The sequence below is a fragment of the Homo sapiens genome, chromosome 2 (assembly GCF_000001405.40).
Source record: "Homo sapiens chromosome 2, GRCh38.p14 Primary Assembly".
Lineage (NCBI taxonomy): Eukaryota > Metazoa > Chordata > Mammalia > Primates > Hominidae > Homo > Homo sapiens.
In genome coordinates this window covers 137,907,334-137,928,536 of record NC_000002.12, presented here as the reverse complement: position 1 = coordinate 137,928,536, position 21,203 = coordinate 137,907,334, and the positions used below count along the sequence as shown (strand labels likewise).

Here is a 21,203-nt window from a genome sequence, read left to right as displayed (position 1 = left end):
TGGTTTTATTCCAGAATCCTTTTTATATCCCAAATATATCTACAAAGATTCTGTTTTCAAGTAAGGTCACATTCTGATGTTCCAGGTTGGAATGGTCTGAATGTTTGTATACCCCCAAAATTCATATGCTCAAACTGTTTTTTTTTTTTTTTTGACACAGTCTTGCTCTGTTACCCAGGCTGGAGTGCAGTGGCACCATCACGGCTCTCTGCAACCTCCACCTCCAGGGTTCAAGTGGTTCTCCTGCCTCAGCCTCTTTGGTAGCTGGGATTACAGGCGTGTGCCACCACGCCCAGCTATTTTTTGTATTTTTAGTAGAGATGGGGTTTCACCATGTTGGCCAGGCTGGTCTCAAACTCCTGACCTCAGGTGATCCTCCCACCTCAGCACACCCAAAGTGCTGGGATTACAGGCATGAGCCACCACGCCCAGCCCATATGTTCAAACTTGATCCCCAATGTGAGAGTATTAAGAGATGCAGCTTTTCTTTTGGGTCGGGGTGGAGGTGGGGGTGATTAAGCCATGAGGACAGATTCCCCATGAATTGGATTACTGCCCTATAAAGAGGCTTCAGAGACCTTGGTCAACCTTTCTTCCGTGTGAGGACACAGCAAGAAGGCACCATCAATGAAGCAGTGAGTAGACCCCTGCCAAACGCTGAATAGGAAGTCATCTTGAACTTGCAGCCTCCAGAAACTATTAGCAATAAATTTTCTCTTGTTTATAAATTACCTAGTCTATGGTATTTTTGTTATAGCAGCTCAAATGAACCAAGACACAGATGTACATAAATTTAGGGAAAAATTATTCAACCCACTATACCTCTTTCCTTTTTTACTAATTCGTATTTAATTAATGATGCATGTGGTTTATTTAGTGACAACAACATCTATGGTCAATATGTGAGACTCTCAGAAGAGGAAATGTAACCATCAGCAGCCAACAGAAAGTGGGGGGCAATAGAAATTCTACCTCATTCCCCAAGTTAGAGAAAAAAAAAATCACTGCATGGAGATATGAAATAATGCTTTGTGGGTCTGTTTTCCTATAGCTTCTGTATATGTCAATCTTCTATGCTCAGCTTTCTTTGTATCTTATTTTTTAATTTTAGTATAAAAATGAATGTTTTATTGCCTTCAATTTACCATTATTATTTTTTACATCAGTTGTTCTTTGTGTGTGTGTATGTGTCAGATTTAGTTTTCTGGAGTGTGAATGCATGTGGTGTGTGTGTATGTGTGTGACCTAAATAAGTTTATCTCCTGAAAAGAAAGCAATATCAACATTTAAAGATTAGGTTAACAGAACTCACTTTATTAAATGCCTGGTATGTGTCCAGGCCTTGAGCTGAGGAATAAGAACAATGATGAGTAAAGACCATCCCTGTTCTCAAGGTGTTTGTAGACTACAAAGGAGCCTGCAACCTTACAGCAAAAATAAAGTAAATAAACACAAACCATGGAGCATGTTGCACTCACAGAGGTTCATTCTCACCCATTTTGAAGATACTGGGAGTAATTGGAACTTTGTTGAAGAAAACAAGGAGATCATTTCTGTTTTGTCTGTGCATCACCATGACTACCTAGCACCATGGAGAAAGGGACCCCCTTTCAGAGCACAAACTCTGACCACAGAGGGCCTTTGTCTATCCTTCATTTTACTCTAAACTTTTCTCAAAATAACCATGGATGAAGCTGGAAAACATCATTCTCAGCAAGCTAACATAGGAACAGAAAACCAAACACTGCATGTTCTCACTCATAAGTGGGAATTGAACAATGAGAACACACGGACACAGGGAGAGAAACATCACACACCAGGGCCTGTCAGGGGTTGGGGGCAAGGGGAGGGATAGCATTAGGAGAAATACCCAATGTAGATGACGGGTTGATGGGTACAGCAAACCACCATGGCACATGTATACCTATGTAACAAACTTGCACATTCTGCACATGTATCCCAGAATTCAAAGTATAATAAAGTAAATAAATAAATAACCCTTTGTGAAGCTGTACTTCTGGAGAAAAGCCCACACAACTATGGGACATTAAGTATGCATCACAAGTAAGATTTTAAAAATAATTTAAAAAGTATTATTTCTGCTTTTGTTTCCTTGTCATTAAAAAAGGTTTCTGTCTTCCTCAACCCCTCAAGATCAGCGCTTTAGCTGCAAGTAAATGCCTTCTTGCATTGGATTCTTCCCATAAACTTCCCTGCTCATTTCTCCCGTGGATTGGGCCTTCTATGACTGCACATATATAGTCGCTTCAGAATAGAAAGCCGCTTTCTCCCTTAGCAAGGTATGGCTTTTCCGATGTCCCCTCTTGCTTTGCCAAGTTGAATTCCAAAGTTGTGTCAAATCTCAGCTAAATCAGTGTATTTGCCTTTCCTGCCTATGGCATTAATTGCACTTTACCGCTGCTATTATTTTCCATGCAACTTCTTAGTTAATTCCTTAATGTATTTTGGGATACCATTTGGGTATGGAGATATTATGGAAATGATGTAGAAAGGGAATTAACTTCAGCGCTACAGGTCAGAGTTACTTAGTTACTTTTAAGCATTTGTTTTTGCACCTTCTTTTTTGGTCCCTGGGAGCCTTGGACAATAAGCTGTTATCCACTTTACATTTCTGAATTATACTTACATGAATCTGGTGCCAGAGAAAGTTCAGTGGTAAAGAATTAAAACTGATTATTCCACTGTTTACAGTCAGAGCTGGTGACTAATGCGGGTGCCTCTACTGACTCCTATAACCGTTGCTAACCTTCCTCAGAGGAGTAAAGTCCATTGAGACCCACTATCCTCTAGACTCCTATTTTCCTCCACATAAAACTATACATTTTGTTAAAAAATTGGATCTGGAGTTTTACTCTCTCAGGCATTAACTAGCAATTCACTTTAAGAAAAGTACAAGGAGAGGGGACAGAATGAAAATTATAAGTTACCCTTTGGATGGGCTTATGAAGGGCCCATTTACTCACAGAGTATAAGAAATGGAATGTGTATATTATCGAAAAGCAAACTGGAGTCAGCCATGAAGATGTGAGTGTTAAGAGAGGGGATTCTCCATTTTATTTTTATTTTCTTTTTTAACTTAAGAGCTAATTTTACTAATAAAGCAAAAATCCCTGTCTGCCTGGCCCATCATACTCAGTAGAATATAGACAGACTAGGCACATGACAATGGCATAGATCTTCTTGGGTTTGTGCCTGTCGAAAGGGGAGAAATTGTTCTTTTAGGATCCAGACTTTGAAGGCAAATAAACGAAAATTTCAGTCCCAACCCCACATACTCCTCATTGTGTGGTCTTTAGTAAGTTTCTGAAAATGTTTAAGTTTTGACTTTGTCAGCTAGGAAGTGGAAATATTCATTTAAGCCATAAGTACCAGGTCCTGGCTGGGTCAGTTGGCATGCTTTAAAAAGGATAACTGAAGGGGGTTTTATCAAGAGTTCATTCAGGGTATGGACAAAGCTAAGGAACCCACTAGGAGTAGGGAGGCACCCAGGGACTAGTGGTGGTGAAGGCCATTCCCACCATCAGGCCTGTAGGGATGGGGGAGGTAAGAGCTCTTATCAGAGCATTGGGGAACTTGCACATGGGAGAGACTATCCAGCAAGAGCTGCTTCAGTGAGGGATGCTGCCACCGCCACTGCCACATCACTGTCTGGTTGGCGGGGGTGGGTGGGGGTGGCCTCACTCCATAAAACTTGAATGAGGCTGAAATAACATGTTACCCTCCTCCAATGACCAAGACCAGAAAACTTCATCGCCCTACCCTCTAGCCAATCAATCAAATTCAACTTTGAGATTTAATACAGGGTCTCTGGAAAATAGATAATCTCTTTTTCATTTGGATTATGAGCCATAAGGATGTTGACTTGGGCCAAACAACAGTCACCTTTCCAACTATATAGAAAGAACTTGCCCTTCAGCAAAGACAATGCAAAAAGAGCACAGAAGAGTCCAGGAATAGGGAGAAAGAGGCAGGCCCATGGTGACTTTGTTTGAGGCCCTTTGTTTAATTATATCTAAAGGCAGTTATGCTTTTTAACATTTCAGTAATATGATTCTTTAATATCCTATATTGGAAGAGTCAAAAAGGTTAATAAGGAAATATGAAGCACCCAGAGGTTAGCAAGAGCAGAAAGTCTCTATGATACCAGAAATGGACAACAAAGGGAGGCTGTGGCACTATGGGATTCTCTGAGTTGGGGCCTCAGTAGGACCTGGAATCATGGAGAAGGAACTGCTTAGGAAATGCTGAAGCTGCCAGGCTGGAACCATGGCAAAGAATGCACAACAGAAACCGAAACCAGAGAAGAGATATGACCTCAAGTACAGAGAGTGAGAAGAAATAGTCTGGTTTCTCCTTCCCTTCCACCCTTTGGATGCCCTCTCCCCTGCCTTCACTTAGCTAAACCTAATTGTGAGACTAACATTCAGAACTGAGCAGGAAACAGGGCAGGATATGGCTTTCAGAACAAACAAGTAATACACATGGTCAGGACACATTCATTCTTTTTGACTCTTTCCTTCCAAAATGCATTACAAACTTTAGTGAAGGATACACAATTTTTTTGTTGTTGTTGTTAAATCTCAGAGAACGGGGGTCAGGTTATTTCCTGCTTAGAGACTTGAGTGGGTTACAACATAAGACAAGGCAATTTGGTCTGATATTCAAGTTCGTTGAGACTATTGCCATAATTTATGGCATGGAATAACATGATAGAAAAATGTAAAGGTAAATTGAAATCCAGTCAAATTAGGCTACTTGCTCTTTTTTGTTAGAGCATATTGTCCTGCACTTGCTAATAATATTCCTTCTGCCAGGCTTAACATCTTCTTCCCCATTTTTCTTTACTGAGATTTTACCTTCACATCACAAATTGTTATTCCTTCAAGAAACATACTGGCTTGCCCAAACTTTGTTGTATCTCTCCCTTCTTAAATTCTTATATCATTCCCATGGCACTTAACAAATTAGATCTTGTGTTTTAGATATTGAAATTTCTATCATGTGTTTGATAATAGATTGTGATTTCTGCAAAGGCAAAGAGTGCTTTCCTCAACTTTGTATCCTTTAGGGTGGGTTTAAATGATCTCTTATACCTACTAGCTGTTTGATAAATGTTTGTTGTAGCAACAAACATGAACCTGAAACAGTAATGCAGAACCTTATGTTCTAGTATTTTCTACGTCACATTAGTGTGACTTGCAGAGTCGCTCAGCTTAGCTTTCCCTATGCACAATAAGTTCAGACTAGATGAATTCCAGGGTCCCTCCTGGCCCTTTCAGTTTCCTAATTTCAAGTAGAAGTTGGAAGATAAAATTTGTAAGCAGAAATTTTATAGTTCTATTATGGAATTTCTACTTGGGGAAAGCTAACATTTCATGATCTCATTCTTGCTGGATTCTTTCTCAAGATTTTCCATGGAGCTGAAATTTATCCATGACCTTGAGAAAGACATGCAAATGCTTCATGATCCTCACTCCACTTTCTTGTCCCTAATGCTTTTCTCCTCTGATGATTACTCATTTCACACCCCAAAAGCAACTCATTTTATAACCGTTTGTACAGCACAGCAAGCAGTAAAGAATAAGAAATTATAAAATATTATATCCTATGAAGAAACACTGCTCCTAATGCATCCACAAAGAACAAAGTTCATAAATGCTGGTTTGTCAATTATAATGGTAAAATATGTATTTATATAATACATATGATAGATGGATGCTATTAGAGTGGGTTCGGCATATTTATTAAAATGTATTTTTATGAAAAAAGATTAAAAAAAGAAATGTCTGCTGTAAGCAGTTACATGAAAATGGATAAATACAAAAGCAAGCACAAGGGTATTCAGTAGAGAATTTTGAGCCTGAACAATCAAGTTTCAGGCAAATCTTGCGTGGTTCATAATTTTAGCCCTTTATTATGCAAAGCTGCCAATTCAATTTTACAATGCAAAGAAATGTTTGGCATGATTATCAAGTTATATTTACTGTTCTGTGGATCTACTAAAAGATGCACTATCTTGAAAGAGTCTGTTCAAATTACCTTTGAACACACTTTTAGATCCTCATTGGTAAGCAAAAGTTGACAGATTAAAATGTATTCTTTCTTAACTAGCATCAGCATGTGAAACTTTAGAAAAACTGGTAGAGCAAATGATGATTCAGTTGCAGAGCCAGACAAATAATTTCCAAATCAACAAATTCAAACAGAGAAAAAAAGTTGCTGATCTTAGATGAATTGCCACATGTTGCCACTTCCTTTCACATGTGTCTTGGTAGAAAAACTCTCATATAGAATTTTTCCCACCCATCAGAATAAAGTAGTTGTTATCTCAATTTCCTATCTCCTCTTCTGCATCTCACCTTCTGAGGAGAGAAATATTATAATCTCAAAGTGTTCATTGCTAAACCCAGAGATAAGGGATTGGGATGCAAGTTGGAAAAACCAGGAAAGTACTAAATTCTGGACCTCTCTTCCTCCTCTGGCTTCTCTCTCATCTCTCTCTCTCTCTCTCTCTCCCTTCCTCTTTCTAAAAGAAGGCTTTGAAAGAGTTTTATGTATTTGCAGAATCAAATTTCTCTCCTCTCTTCTCTCTTCAGGGCACGCTGTTCAGGCTTTTGTTGTCATCTCTCCTCTAAAACTGTTTCAGTCAACATTGTCAATTATCTCAATGCTACTGACACCAAAGTTCTAGTTTCAAACTTTGTCTAACTCAACTGTAGCAGCATGAAACACAATTTATTACTCTCTGCTCCTTGAAGCATTGTCTTGTCTCCCAGGAATATACACTGCCAGTGTTCCTTCTCTTATTGCCTGCTTTTTTTTTCAAGGTTCCTTGCTGGTTCCTCTTTTTCTTTCTGACAAATAGAAGTGTTTCATGGCTCAGGCCTTGAAACTCTTCCCTTATCTATCTATCTATCTATCTATCCATTCGCACTCACTTTCCTCATGAGTTCCTCTAGTCTTGTGATAATTTCTAAATACATAACTTTAGTTTCAGCCTCTTTCCCAAAGTATTGACTCAGAGATCCAGCTGACCACCTGATGTCTCCACTTGAATGTTCAACGGCCATCTCAGAGTCAACATGTCCAGAACCAGGCTTCTATATTCAATCCAACCTCCCCAAACATGCTTCTGCTCAGCCTGCCCCAACTCAGTGGGTGGTGACACCATTGTTCCAGTCAAGACTGGGACAAGGGTGAAGCAAGCCAGCCACTTGGGCACAATATTTAAGGCATTGAGAGCATCAAGGAAGTGCTGACCTTGCTTTTGTATGGCTATGCAAGGGCTTCCTTAAATTTTATGCCCTCAACATCTCACTTGGCTCACCCTAGTACCATCCCTGCTTCTTGCTCAAGCCAAAAACTTCAGCATCATCCTGTATGCCTCTGTTTCTCCCATTTCCAATCTACCAGGATATCTTATTGGCTCTACATTCATTAATATTAAAGTGTTTGATCCAGTAATTAAAACAAATTAGATATATCAAAAGTAATGGAGGAGTTTTTTTTAAAAAAATATAATTCTTGTCCTAAAGAAGGAAAACCAAAATTCTGCTCTTATTTTCACAAAGGCAGGGAGCTAAGAGAGGTAGACATACTGTTTCAGAGTGTTTAAAAATGTAATAGACTTTGATTTTTAGACCAGTTTTAGGTTTACAGAAAATGTGAGCAAAATATACGGGGTTCCTGTATACTCTGTCCCCCAACCAACCTCCGGTTTTTCCTATTATTAACATTTTGTGTTGGTGTGGCACATTTGTTACAATTGATGAACCAATATTCATGCATTATGATTAACTAACATCCATAGTTTATATTAGGGTTTAGTCCCTGTGTTGTACGGTTCTATGGGCTTTGCTAAATGTATTATGTCATATTTCCCGTTACAGTATCTTAAAGAATATTTTCACTGCCCTAACAATCTTCAGGGGCTTATTTCCCCTCAGCTAGCAGTGACATCTTTAGGTACAAGTACACACCACCTATAACAACTTAATTTCTTGCCTTCTGGGCAAGCCAGGGCAGTGACTGAGGGCAGCGACAATGTCACCTATCTTCCATTCAGAAGCCTGTGTTTGTTGCAGGGTCCAGGGTTCCTGGGTCCAGCCTATGTGCCCCAACGATGTTCTCCTACACTTGAAGACAATGAACTTCCAGGCACATCACAAATGCCAGGTGCTCTGCAAAGCTGTCCTGATTCCTCTTAGCCACATGCATTGCCACATTTTCTTTATTCTAAGGTGTCAGGCACATGATCATGGTGTTCATCAGGCTGTCTGATCGTCCGATTATATGTCAGTCTCCCAGACTAGATCATGGGCTTTTTAAGGGCAGAATCTCTGTCTTAGTCATCTGTGTCTTCCTCAGGGCCTGTACTTGCCATTTGTTGATGATATGAAAAGAGTTGGCGTTGTGAGGGGGAGGAAGAAGGATAGAGGAATGAATAAAGGGAAATGAGGGAAAGAAAAAAGACAGGAAGAAAGGGAAGGTGTTTGTACCCATGCACTTGGTCACAGGTTGCTATGGGTGGGCACAGGTGTTCAGCGCCACAACGACGGGAAGATGAGCAAGAGAGGGCATCTCTGAGTCAGGGTTGGTGCATTTCTCACACCCAACGATCCAGCCACATCGTTGAAAAATCTGGGATATTGTACTTTTTCCCATCAGCAGCTCTAGTTGCACATGAGAGACTACTGCCTGCTATTTCACTGACTTCATAAAGTCCTAGAACCTCAGGGTTAATGAGTTCTTAGTTACGTGGAACAGCTTTGTTTGATAGGTTATTCTAGTTTTATATGTAAGAAAACTTGGTGTTCTTATATTATTTAATATATTGATTTGCTACATTGTATAAAAAAATAAATGAGACTTCTTTAAACTGTCTTAGAAGATGTCTCAAGTCTCCTGTGGCTCTCAAACCTCAGTGTGGACAGGCAGTTCATGACATTTGTTGTCCATAGTGTACTTGTTTGGACAATTTCTCAATTGCCAAACAGCAGTGATGTTTTCTGCGACAGATGAATTACAAAACAAAACATTTCACATTTTGTCCTCCCTCTGATAGAAATCTTTGTGATCCTAAACAATCAAAACTCTTTAGTTTAAATTGGAAGTATTATTAAGGAAAGTTGAAATTTTATGATGAAATTGAAGATTCAAAAATGTATCTATATTTGGGAATATTGATTATGATTTTAATGTTAATTTTTTTGAGCCGATACCATTTCCAAAAACGTAACCTACAGAAATACTAAAACATGCACAGTTATAGCTTAAAAGAATGTGGTGAAATTATTTGCAGTAGGGCAAAATTTAAAACAATGCAAATGGTTTTCAAAGAGGATTAAGTAACTATTTAATGATGAGTAAGTAGTAGGTTAAAAAAGGAATTATTTTGAATAATAAGAAAAATAAAGATTCTAAGATACATATTTAGTGAAGAAAGTCTCAGGATCACATGTTTGCTCTCATTTCATTTTTGCAAAACAAACAAGAATAAAAACAAAAGCTACACACGTGCGTGCACACACACCACAAGACACTTGTGAATTGAAGGGGGTAATGTTAATATTCACACAGGAACCATCAGTGTGATATAGGAGTGTCAAGAAAACCAGGATCTATAACCACCTTAATTTAAGGGACTTTATGTTCTGTATTATACCTTACTGTCTATAATAATAAAATTAAATTTTCCATACTTAAAGTATCTATAAAAAATAAATTGAGTAAATTGTATACTTGGATCTCAAGTCCAGTTCCTCTAGTTCTCTCAGAACTATCTCCCTTCATTTCAAAGTTCATGGATTGATTTTTGTTTTTCATAACATGTACCACTGTATTTTAAATTTACACATCACCACGGCATTCTTTTTTCTTGTTCTTTTATTATTAGAACATACATTTAATCCCTTCTGACAATCTAGCCATTGTAAACCTCCCAGGTTTATCAACTGTCATCATCCAAGTACCCACAGCACAAATTTCTGGTATTACAATGGTCTTAAATTTTGTCCTTTGGATTTTTTGAAAATAAATTATAGTGTCTATTTACATGGATAAAGAGTGACCACTGTCTTCAGCTGGTTCCTGTTGATAATGAGGCCAAGACCGGGGCCTTCACTGAATTCCCACATGTGCTTGGTTGCAAGCCACACTCAGGTGACAGTCTTGCAGTTGCTGCTATTGGTCACATGAAGACTGGGAAAGAGAGTGCATCAGATCAATATAAACTTATTTCTCTTGCAAAACATAACAACTCAAGGCACATGCATTGTGAATATTGGGTCAGAAGCATTATCTTCATATTCAAAGACTAGCATGTAATTATCAAGAACAGAAATATAAAGAACATAAATAGCCTGATGATAGAATTGGTGCACATTTATTATTAGAAATTCTATTTGAAATCCAGAGAAGAGTAACTGAATGGATAAAAACATACCGGATATTAGATGACAGAGAATATGAGAAAATTTCAACTTTTTTTTCCGGTTGAATTTAGCAATGTTTTGCTCCTTAGTTGACTGATTGAATAATTTGCCTCTCCCAGGATGTAAATTCTCAGAGATATTCCTTCTGCCATTGTGCCAATCTAGGTCACAGCTAGGATAGGATTTATATGCTGTCCTGGTCAATATCCTTCAGAAATGCCCAGCAGAACACAGGCACAAATATTCTCCTTCAACAAATACTCATTGAATATGAAATCAGACTTCTGCTGGTACTGAGGTACCAGTACTTCTACTGGTACAGAGTCATCTGGAGGGCTTGTTATGAGGCCTCATTCAGTATGAGGCAAAGGTTGTGAAGTTTGCATTTAAGTTTTTAAAAAGTCATGTATAAAGAGTGGCCACCATGATGATTAAACACATCATATTGTGCTCTTATAAAATTTGATCAAAAACCACAAACTTCAATGACAATAAGTAATTGGTCTTACTTGGTCTGTTCATTCTGAAAAAACTGAGTCTTGTCCTATACAACAGGGCTGGAGCAGTTGCAACATGCACCAGGTGGAACATGTTTAAGAGCTAATGGATAGCATTGGTTTACATTTCATGTAAGACAAACAGAGTAAATTAAGGACACATTTCTAGTATCTTCAGATATTCAAACAAGTAAATATTTCATATATCTCAGTTTGCTCCTTTATTTGTGAAACACATTTATTTTCATTTTGATAAAAATGTCTCAAAAATGCCTTAATAATTTGTGCTTTGGTGAGGGAAATTTGGAAATAATGAATGTGAGCTAATCCTCTCTTTGTGACTTAAGGGTCCTCATTTGAAATTATCATCTTTGGAGCTATGCTTTTATAACGTGATGCTCATTGGGTATTTGAGGTATAATGCCTGTCTCTAAACTGAATTGCCCCAAACTGCTTTATAGTAGTTGATTTCACTACCAATGTTTTCTCCTTCACTCTTATTTTGTATTTCAGTATACCAAATTTACATTGTTTTTGTTGGTTTTGTTAGCAACAGAAACATCAGGTGAATTAAAAGACACCAAGATAAGTACTCATCAAACTAAAAAGTTAAATGCAATTAGACGTTATTTTTGCCAGAGGGTGGGTGGGTAAATTTAGCATAATGCAGTAGTTCTCAGTCTTGAGCATGCTTCAGAGTCATCTGGAGGGTTTGTTAAAATGCAGGTTGTTGGGTCCCACCCCAGAGCCTCTGTTTCAGCAGATCTCGGGTGAGGCCTGAGAATGTGCATTTCTAGCACTTTTCCAGTGGATGCTGCCCATCTGAGGACCACACATTGAGAGCTACTTGCTGCAGAGAAAAGTGGAATGGGGATAGTTTAAAGAATCAGTAAGTGTTTAAGTTTCAGGAAATGTTTGGAAGTCTTCAAGTAGAAAAAGGGGAATGTTAATTTTCTCTTCACATATTGGGCATTACCTTTATGGAACTCTAACACAAAGAGGGTGAGCTGTGGGAAAAAATCAAGGGATTTGTATAAAATGATAGATTACAGTTACATGTTAGTTCACAAAATGATTTCGGGAAGGTATGTTAAATAATCCCAACATTATAAACTGATACCGCACCGAGCAACCTCACTCTCCAAAATCCTCTCATGTTGCCTTTGTGCTGGCCTGGATGGACCATTGGTTGGACCCCATGTGGCATTCCTAATGTCTCTATATTCTGATCCATTGATTGCCACTAAAGTGCTTTGCCGACAGATTTTGTTCTCAGATGGTGCACGGTGCTGAAGAGAAAATCACTTTGCAAATCCAGTGATTTCATGGGCCACTAGGCTCTCTGGATTCTCTATTACCCAGTTTATCTTCTGTTCATTTAATGTATTGCAAACAACATTGAATTAGTTTGTTGGACAATTAGGTAAGATATTAAGCTAAAGATGTACATATAAATATGTCAAGTCATTATTTTAAGAATACGTCTGTAAGGCATAGTTGGAGAAGGCTTTTTCTTGTGAACCCTGTGAAGGCTTTTCCCCGCAACTCTGTAATAGTTCAACAGGTACCAACTTTTATAAATAATACTTCTTTCTCAGAGGTGTTCACAAGTGAGAAAAAGAATTTTCTACAATGGATGTTTTAAAAAATCACTTCCAAGGAAATTAGTTCTTGTAAACCTCCTGAAATAAACATCAGGAAATTAAATTGGCGTTTGTTTGTTAGTAGAATGAACATCCTCAAGCAAATCCAAGATTGCAAATATTTTAGCTCAGGCCTAGTTTCTAGTCTCTGAAAGACCCTTCCTTCCTGAGCTATGACCACCTAAAGCCCTCCTGCAGCTTCACCATTGCCTTAACTTTCAGCATGAATCCTGAAATGATGCTAAGGAGATTTACATGACTACATGTCTATAAGCTATGGTTTCATCATTTTTTTCTTTGTCTCTGAGCTAATGCTGAGAAAATACCCTGGTTCTGCTAAGTGGATCTCAGTGTTACTTAGTCTCCTGCTCTCCGGGCACCCAAGTCTGATTCCTCAGCACCCAAGTCTGATTCCTCAACTTGATCCTCTTTTGTTACCTGTGATCGTCCTCAGGAAGGGGTATCCCAGTCCTGGATCCTGGACCACTGTCTTGGACCCTCCTCTGAAATGCCAAATATTCCTAATTTCAATTTGCTATCCTTCTTGTAAGGATGAATTGTCTCATACTGCATCCAACTGTTTGGACAGGCCAACACTTCATTTGCAACCCTCCGTGGGTATCTACTTATCTGAACTACAACCTGCTATCCCTTGATCCTGTTGGACAGGCTACTGTAGCCTCGCTTTACATCTGTGATGGAATCCATCCACCCAGATCCTATTCAGTAACAGAGCCTTTTCTCAAATCCCAGCCCGTTCTCATCTGAGCTACATGACAATAAGTAATTAATTGGTCTTACTTGGTCTGTTCATTCTGAAAAAACTGAGTCCTTACTGAATGGAGTTTCATAAGGACTGAGTTGTTATGGAACGATATTATACATGGGAGTGATGGACATGAAAAAGCTACAATATCTCTCTTGAAGAAACTCATTCATTCATTCTTTCTTTTTTTTCTTTTTTGTTTTTTTTTTTGAGACAGAGTCTCACTGTCTCACCCAGGCTGGAGTGCAGTGGCATAATCTTGGCTCACTGCAACCTCCGCCTCCTGGGCTCAAGCAATTCTCCTGCCTCAGCCCCCTGAGTAGCTGAGATTACAAAATTAGCCTGCCACCATGCCAGACTAATTTTTTTAAAATTATTTTTAGTAGAGACAGAGTTTTGCCATGTTGGCCGGCCGGGTCTCCAACTCCTGACCTGAAGTGATCTGCCCGCCTCAGCCTCCCAAAGTGCTGGGATTACAGGCATGAGCCACCGCACCTGGGTCATTTTTGATGACAGGGCAAACAAGCAAACAATTGAAATACAGGTTGAGTATTCCTTATCCAAAATTCTCGGGACAAGATGTGTTTTGGATTTTTAAAAAATTTTTCAATATTTGCATTAAACTTACTGGTTGACATCCCAAATTCAAAAATCTGAAATCTGAAAATCTTTAATGAGCATTTCCTTTTGAGCAGGACCTTTGAGCATCGTGTCAGTATTCAAAAAATGTGAATTTCAGATTTTTGGATTAGGAATGCTCAACCTATACAATACTTTAACCATAAATTCTGAGAACCTTTCTTTAAAGGATGTAGTAGACGAGGTCAGACAATTGTCCTTCCATAAACATTCATTCTATCATTTGTTCAAACCCCACTGTGTTTCAGGCATTTTGTTAACACATCGGGAATGGACCCAGAGGGCCTTTCTGAGAATTGTGTTAGACCCAGATATTCACCCAGGCCCAGAGCATCCAAGACCTTTTGCCTCCAAATACCAATGATAATTTGTCTTGTGGTCCTAAGATGTTAATCAGAGCTGCTTATAATAGCCTCTGAAACTGGCTTCTCTCCCCTGTAGCCCCAGATGGTCTACTCTGGACCCTGAATACATTAGGTTGGGGGATTCTAAGTGCAGTCACTTTGTTGCCAGGTCCACTTTCTTTCCAGAACCTCTGAATCAAATGTCAGCCTGTTTTCATTGTTCCCTTTCTGATTAGCTGTAGCTGGATATACTGAAGGAATGAAAGTTTTCTGAGCTGACTGCACTGATAAACCTAGAAGGAGACCATGGTGATAATTGCTTTATAATTTTCAAAAGTCAGCATTAACTGCTGAGTAGCAGAGTGGATTACATTTGCGTTTTCAGTGGAAATGATCACTGTGATGTCCTTACTGCCTCCTAACTCATGAAAGGAACAACTGGCTGGTCCCTGGAACTCCCTGTGTGACTGGTGATTGCCCACGGACTTCTAAAACAGTCTTTACTCTGAAGATGTGAATGTTGCCCATGGCCTTCAGCTGATGGATGATATCTGGGCCTGAGATGGCAATATCAGGTATTTCTGAAGATATCCTAGGGAAATGTGGGGATTGCCATGGTGCCTCTGAGCTTACCTCTAGAACAGATACTTTGATAAGCGCTTTTGTTTCTTTCTCTGAATTCTAAATCAGCCCTAGAATTCTGGAGGATAATTCTGAAACAAGCCCTACCCAGTCAATTTTCCTGAAGTTTCATGAGGATTCTGAAGAGCGGTGACAGGTGTTGGACTAAAACCAGGGAGGAAGGCCAAGGTGAGGAGAGCACTCAAAGGCAGTGGGTGGACAGAGGTCATCCAGAGGCTTGCAGAAAATAGGACCAAAGCCATGGCCCCAGACAGGAGTGGCAATCCTAAGTGCAGTTTTAGTTGCGCTTTCGAGATAATGGAAGTACAAAATCAGTCACTTAACCTCTTTTAACATCAGTTTATTCATCTGCAAAACATTGACATGCTACCTCACAGCATTCTTCACATGTAATAAGAAACGGCATGTTAAAATACTAAACAAAGCTTAAGAAGTGATGCAAAGATACTATTAGGGTAGAATGCAGATTATAATTCTATCACTTATCTCTTTCTTATTTTCTTATTTTCTGAGAAGCTCTTATGAACATTGAGTTAATTATTTCTTTTCCCTCCTTATTTATGAGCATACATGTCTTATTCAAGGTTTAAAATATCACTTGGAAATTAACAAGGGGTTTCACAAATATAGTCATATTCCTTATTTGTTCACAATATTTTGTCCCAAAATGTTGCTTTTTAAAAAATAAAAGAACTACTTATAAAATTGTGATACAGTCAAGGCAGACTATAAACAAATGCTCACCAGCCAACAGAAGAAATCTATCCTGCAATATGGAACACTTTCCCAGTGTACCATGATAGTTCCTTAAAGCTGTTATGAATTATTCCATAAACTTGTATTTAAAGACTTTTAAACATGCAGATTATTGGCCTGAGAAACCATTTCGTCTCAAAAGGAGCATTTGCAGGCTGTCGTGCAAATCTGCATTTGAGCAACTTTCATATTATGATCTTAGTGAATTCTTGACCAGATGGACTTGAACAGCTGCTACCCATGCTTGGGAAGTCCCTTTGCTTGAGAAGACAAAATAGCTCATTTGTTTGCAATTCTTTCCTGAAAGTACACAAGGGCAATTTTCTACATTGTGAATTACTTCTATCAGAACAACATTTTCCCTGAAAGACCACAGCTCATTATACTATTTAGAAACAAACAAAAATACATACAAACATTTTTTGGGGAGTTTTATAATTTGTGCCCAGAAGGGACAAGTTTCTTTTCAGATTAAGTTTTAAAAAATGTTCCTTTATTGCTGTTATGTTCAAGCTGACATGGAGGTTATAACTGAGAGAACCCCCCTCTGAAATAATAATGCCTTACATTTGTATAATACTTTATACTTTTCAAAGTGCTTTCAGGCACATTATTTCATTTGATCTTCAAAACAGCTCAGTGAGGCAGGTAAAGTGGGTGTTTTTATTCATTACATTATAGATAAGGAAATAGGTTCAGACTGCAAATATTATCTGAGTATCTACTAATTCCATCGTATTGTTCTAGGTGTCATAGAGGATAAAATAACATGTATTCCTAAAAGAAGAATCTTGGTTTTAGATAAGACATAACAACACAAAGCTAAATAATACATAAATGTACAATATGGTTCAAAAGATGACAAAAGACAATATATGGTCATAGTATTAGAAGCACGAGCAAACTGTATTCTGGCAGATTAAGGGAGACTTCTTAAAGCAGGTGCCACCCGAATATATATGCCTGGAAGGAGGTTTGGAATTTGTGGAATATTTACTCTTTGGCATCATAATCACCTTCTCATATAACCTTAGAATAGAAGAGCTTTTGGCATTCATCTAGTTTGTTCTGATACTAGATGTTGGCACTCCCTATAGCACCCTAGGCAAAAATGTTGGAATAGCTATGAGTCTTAAAAATTCTATCTTATGAAACCCCGTCTCTACTAAAAATACAAAAAAAAAAAAAACACAAAAATTAGCCAGGAGTGGTGGCGGGCACCTGTAGTCCCAGCTACTTGTGAGGCTGAGACAGGAGAATGGTGTGAACCTGGGAGGCGGAGGTTTCAGTGGGCCGAGATCGCACCACTGCACTCCAGCCTGGGTGACAGAGCGAGACTCCGTCTCAAAAAAAAAAAAAAAAAAAAAAAAAAAAAAATTCTATCTTATATGCAGCTGCAATCTCCAGTTCTATAATTCTACCCTCTTGACTAGAGTAAAACAAGACTAATTTATTTTCTCTTTCTGTGGAAAGCCTTTAATATGTCTGTAGTCAGCATGATAGCTTGATCTGCCTTTAGTCTTTTCTTCTTTCCATTTAATCTTAAAGCTTCTGGAGATACAGTCATTATTTTACTGCTGGGCCCGTATTTTATTTGTCCAAATTATCTGTAACTTTGGCCATCCCAAACTGTTACACTATTGTAGATATGCAGATTTGAATAAGACTCTAAAAACTATCATTATCTTTCCAATTCACTGCCAGCATGTCCACTAATACTGCTAGTTGTGAACAATTCTCACATATAAGAGTAACTAACTTTTGTGTAAAAGCGGCATAATTAATGTGCCTGGAATGAGTCATGGATGTCTTCCTAAAGAACAAAGGCCACCTTCCTGAAGAACAAAGACCACCTTCATTGTGATGGCTTTTTTCTTTTTCTTTTGTATTTTTCTTAAGCCATTAATGATCTATGCATGTCTGCACAGATGATACTTGCTTAAGGAACTAACACCAAATCTCTAATACAATAACAATTTTTGGTATTTTGTTTCTCATTTTTATTACTGGGAAAGTAAAAATTAACAGCTCGTGTAAATTAATAATCCAATACTGACCTCTGGTGTGTAATGAAGAAATTGCTTTCTGGATGAACTTAGCGGATGCTTGCGAAAAGTTTTATGTTTTAATATAAGAATGTCTTTCTCCAAGCAAAGAAGTTTCCTAGGCTATAATTAAAAATGTGGAAAGTGGGAAAAGTAAATCTAAGTAACTGAATGTAGAGAATGTCTCTGTGGTAGTTTTTAGTAGTGGGTAAGTAAAAAGGAAAAGTGAGAACAACTGACACTAGAACTGCCCCATTCAAAAATGTTTTTTTTTTTTTAATTCGGCCAGCTTTTAAGAAACTAAACACAGTGAGTTGCGAATGAATGATCTACCCTCCCTCACTTGACTATATTTGAATTGGACTTAAAAAAAATGCTGTTTTGAATTTCTCTAAGTCACCTCCTCAGATGGTAGATGTGTTTTCATTGCCTGCCACTCCCCAAAGTGTCTCTCCATTTATTTCAGACACAAGGTCCCAAAGTCACAATTTTCTAGTCTTATTTGCTCTTCTTTGCTGTCCTGTAATTTTCTAAAGCCAGACCATATGCCTGCTTTATAATTCAAAGGCATAATATTTGTTAGGCTGGTTCTTGATTCAGGTTTCTCATTCTCCTCCCTATTTTCAGTATGTGCCCTTCCCTCCCACTCTATGCTCAAGTCAAATTATCTATCTAGCATTTCCCCCAGTGGTACCTTCTGAGCAGAGGTACTGCAGAGTGCACAGATATGGCTGAAATGAGTCAGTCACTTTGCAGACAGAGGTGTAAGCCATGTAGGTTTAGGCCTCTACTGCCACCAGAGACCCTATTGCTGGGCTACTCCCTCCTGTAGTAGTGCTCATAGAACCTTAGAAATTCACCTGTTGAGGGAGTATCACTGGGCCAGTCGTCAATGAACCCAGATGCCAATTTAATCCTGGCACTGCCCCTGACTTGTTATGGGACTTTCTGCAATTCAGTTCAACTCCTAGGCTATGAGACTTCTATTTTATAATCTGTAACAAAGGGTGATTAGATTAGATGATTTCTAACATCCTTTGTAGTATTCCAATTCTACAGCTCTATACATGTGGATTCAGGAGGCTAGCTCAAACCCTGGGTTCTTCACTTCTTGCAATGCTCTCTCAATTCCCTTCTTCTCCCAACCTCTAGCTTGTCCAGATGTTACTGTACTTGTATACTTCCTGTGTATACTAAACCATTATATGGACTACACTCTACTGTATCTATTTGTCTATCTTTTTTCCTTCATTGAACTAAGATATGGTAGGCTGTTACTAGCTATCTATGGAGTGAATGAGAAAAGAATGCATATCTTGTCTTTATCCTGCAGGTCTGTCTCTGCCACATATTTCTGAGGAGCTCCTGGGACTGCAAAACTCTGGAGTCAGCATTGACCTTTTATCCTGGTTCTATAAACCAGATCACATGCAAGAATATTGCCTCTTAAAAATTCTCAAAAGTGATGAATAGCTATAGTCCATGCTAAAGGAAAATGGAGCACACCAGGTTGTCAGTGAGAGCTGAACCACTCTGAGTAATGGAGTGAGAAGTTTTATTAGGTTGGTGCAAAAGTAATTTGTGGCTTTTGACATCAATTTTAATGGCAAAAACTGCAGTTACTTTTGCACCAACCTATAGTTCCCAGAGTCAGGTAGACTAGGAAGAGGCAGGCAGAAAACAGAGACTGGGAGGTGGAGAAGAGTTAGTGAAATGATTTGAGTTTGGAGACAATGGGGTGAAGGCCCAGAGAAAGTTCCACACTCTTGGGGTGGCCACAGGAAAATTTTAAAACTCAGAATTTAATTTGACTAAATTTGTTTGCCATTTCAACTCTCAATTTCTAATTTTCAATAAACTTTTCTATCCTCACAAGTGCTTTACATGGGTAGGTTTTTGTGGAAAACAGTAAAAGTGATGAACATTCTATCTGAGTCAATGGTTCTTGGTGTTCAGGACACTTTAGAATCACTTGGGGAACTTTTGAAATCTGGATGCTGATGTCAGATTCCTGAGTGATTACAACAGAATCTCTGCAGGTGGGACCTAGGAATCAGTATATCTTAAAAGATCCCAGGTGAATCCAATATGCAGCTTGCTTTGGAATGAGTTATTGTGAAACAATAGACTACAGTGATCAACGTGAACTCATCTGAGAGACTCCTCGGCAATCATGTCTGCTTTGTTCTTTAATCAGTTCTATTTCACATTATTGGAAACAACTATTTTAATTTTATAAGCCTCCACTTTTCTCAAAACTTCCTCCTCCAATTCCATGTATACTCTCAATTAATGACTTCCCTTCTACCTTTCAGATATAATTGGAGCTCAACATGAAAAAATTCTTTATTTCCTGTCACCAAATCTGTAAATGTGTTTTTTCTGAATTACTTTTCACTAGTGCCTTTCTATCAATATTTGACCATCCAAAGTCATCCATCTCTAGAAAGTAACAATACAGAAATATAGGGTGTATATTTGTTGGAAATAAAATAATACTAACAAAGACCTCTCTGAACCAACCTAGAAAAGAGAACACAGTTTATTACTACATGAACATAGTCAGATTTCTATGCACGTAGGTACTACAAAAGTGACTAAAAAGTCTAGACAGACTTTCACATAATTCATTTAGCAAAGCAGAAGAAAGAATAACTTCTCATCTCCTCAAGAGACAAAGGGCTACATCCTAAGATAGTCCTCTAGTGAAAACTCCCAAGTAAGTTTTGGAGGCATTTGCTTACAATTCCAAGTGTCAGAAAGTCCCCATTATTCCATTGCAAAATCAAAAAGGCAAACCTGTTATTTGGACCCATTAAGATTTCAAGGAAATACTCTAAGGAAGGGGGATGGAGAGATAGTGAGCTCCAACCTCAAACAAGTCACCATTTTACCCTTACGGTATGCTTTGGTTGGTATATGCATGTGTATTTCTTAGCTTTGTGAAGTCAGAGAACCTAGAACACCTGGCCTCTAGACCTTTGTATCCAAACACTATTTCTCCATGAAAGAAACCCATGCTCTTTGGGGAAATGGTAAATTTTTAGAATAGGGAAAAATGGTCAATTCTTCTGTCTACAGAAGAAGGCTGCCTCATGTGGATTGAAGCCACACTGAGTGAGGGCTTCAATGCAGGTAGGTGACCCATGTGGGGTGTCAGAATCAAAGCAATGTGAGGGAGCATCCAGATAGACATATTATCCATCACCTGGTGTCTAAACCCAACAGGCTAGTGGGAAGAGAACACCCATGTAAGGCAGTGGCACAGAATGGGATGAAAAGGATTTGCATGTAGAAAAGGCAGGTCATTGTGGGATTTTTCTGGTCTAAATAGAATGAAAGCGGTATCTGTTAAGAGGGCTCCAAGGTGCCAGGTATTGAAGCCAAAGAACAGGAGAAGGAGTCCACGTAGAAGTG

General features: G+C 38.5%; 1 long non-coding RNA gene across 1 annotated transcript in view; it reads left to right on the top strand.

Moving 5' to 3' along the window:
* Positions 1-604: 604 nt before the first annotated feature.
* Positions 605-21,203, top strand: part of LOC101928273 (uncharacterized) — a 49,179-nt gene continuing 28,580 nt past the window's right edge. The window contains exons 1-2 of the long non-coding RNA NR_120402.1: positions 605-635; positions 2,129-2,300. This is a non-coding gene — a long non-coding RNA (uncharacterized LOC101928273). The remainder of the gene's footprint in view (positions 636-2,128; positions 2,301-21,203) is intronic.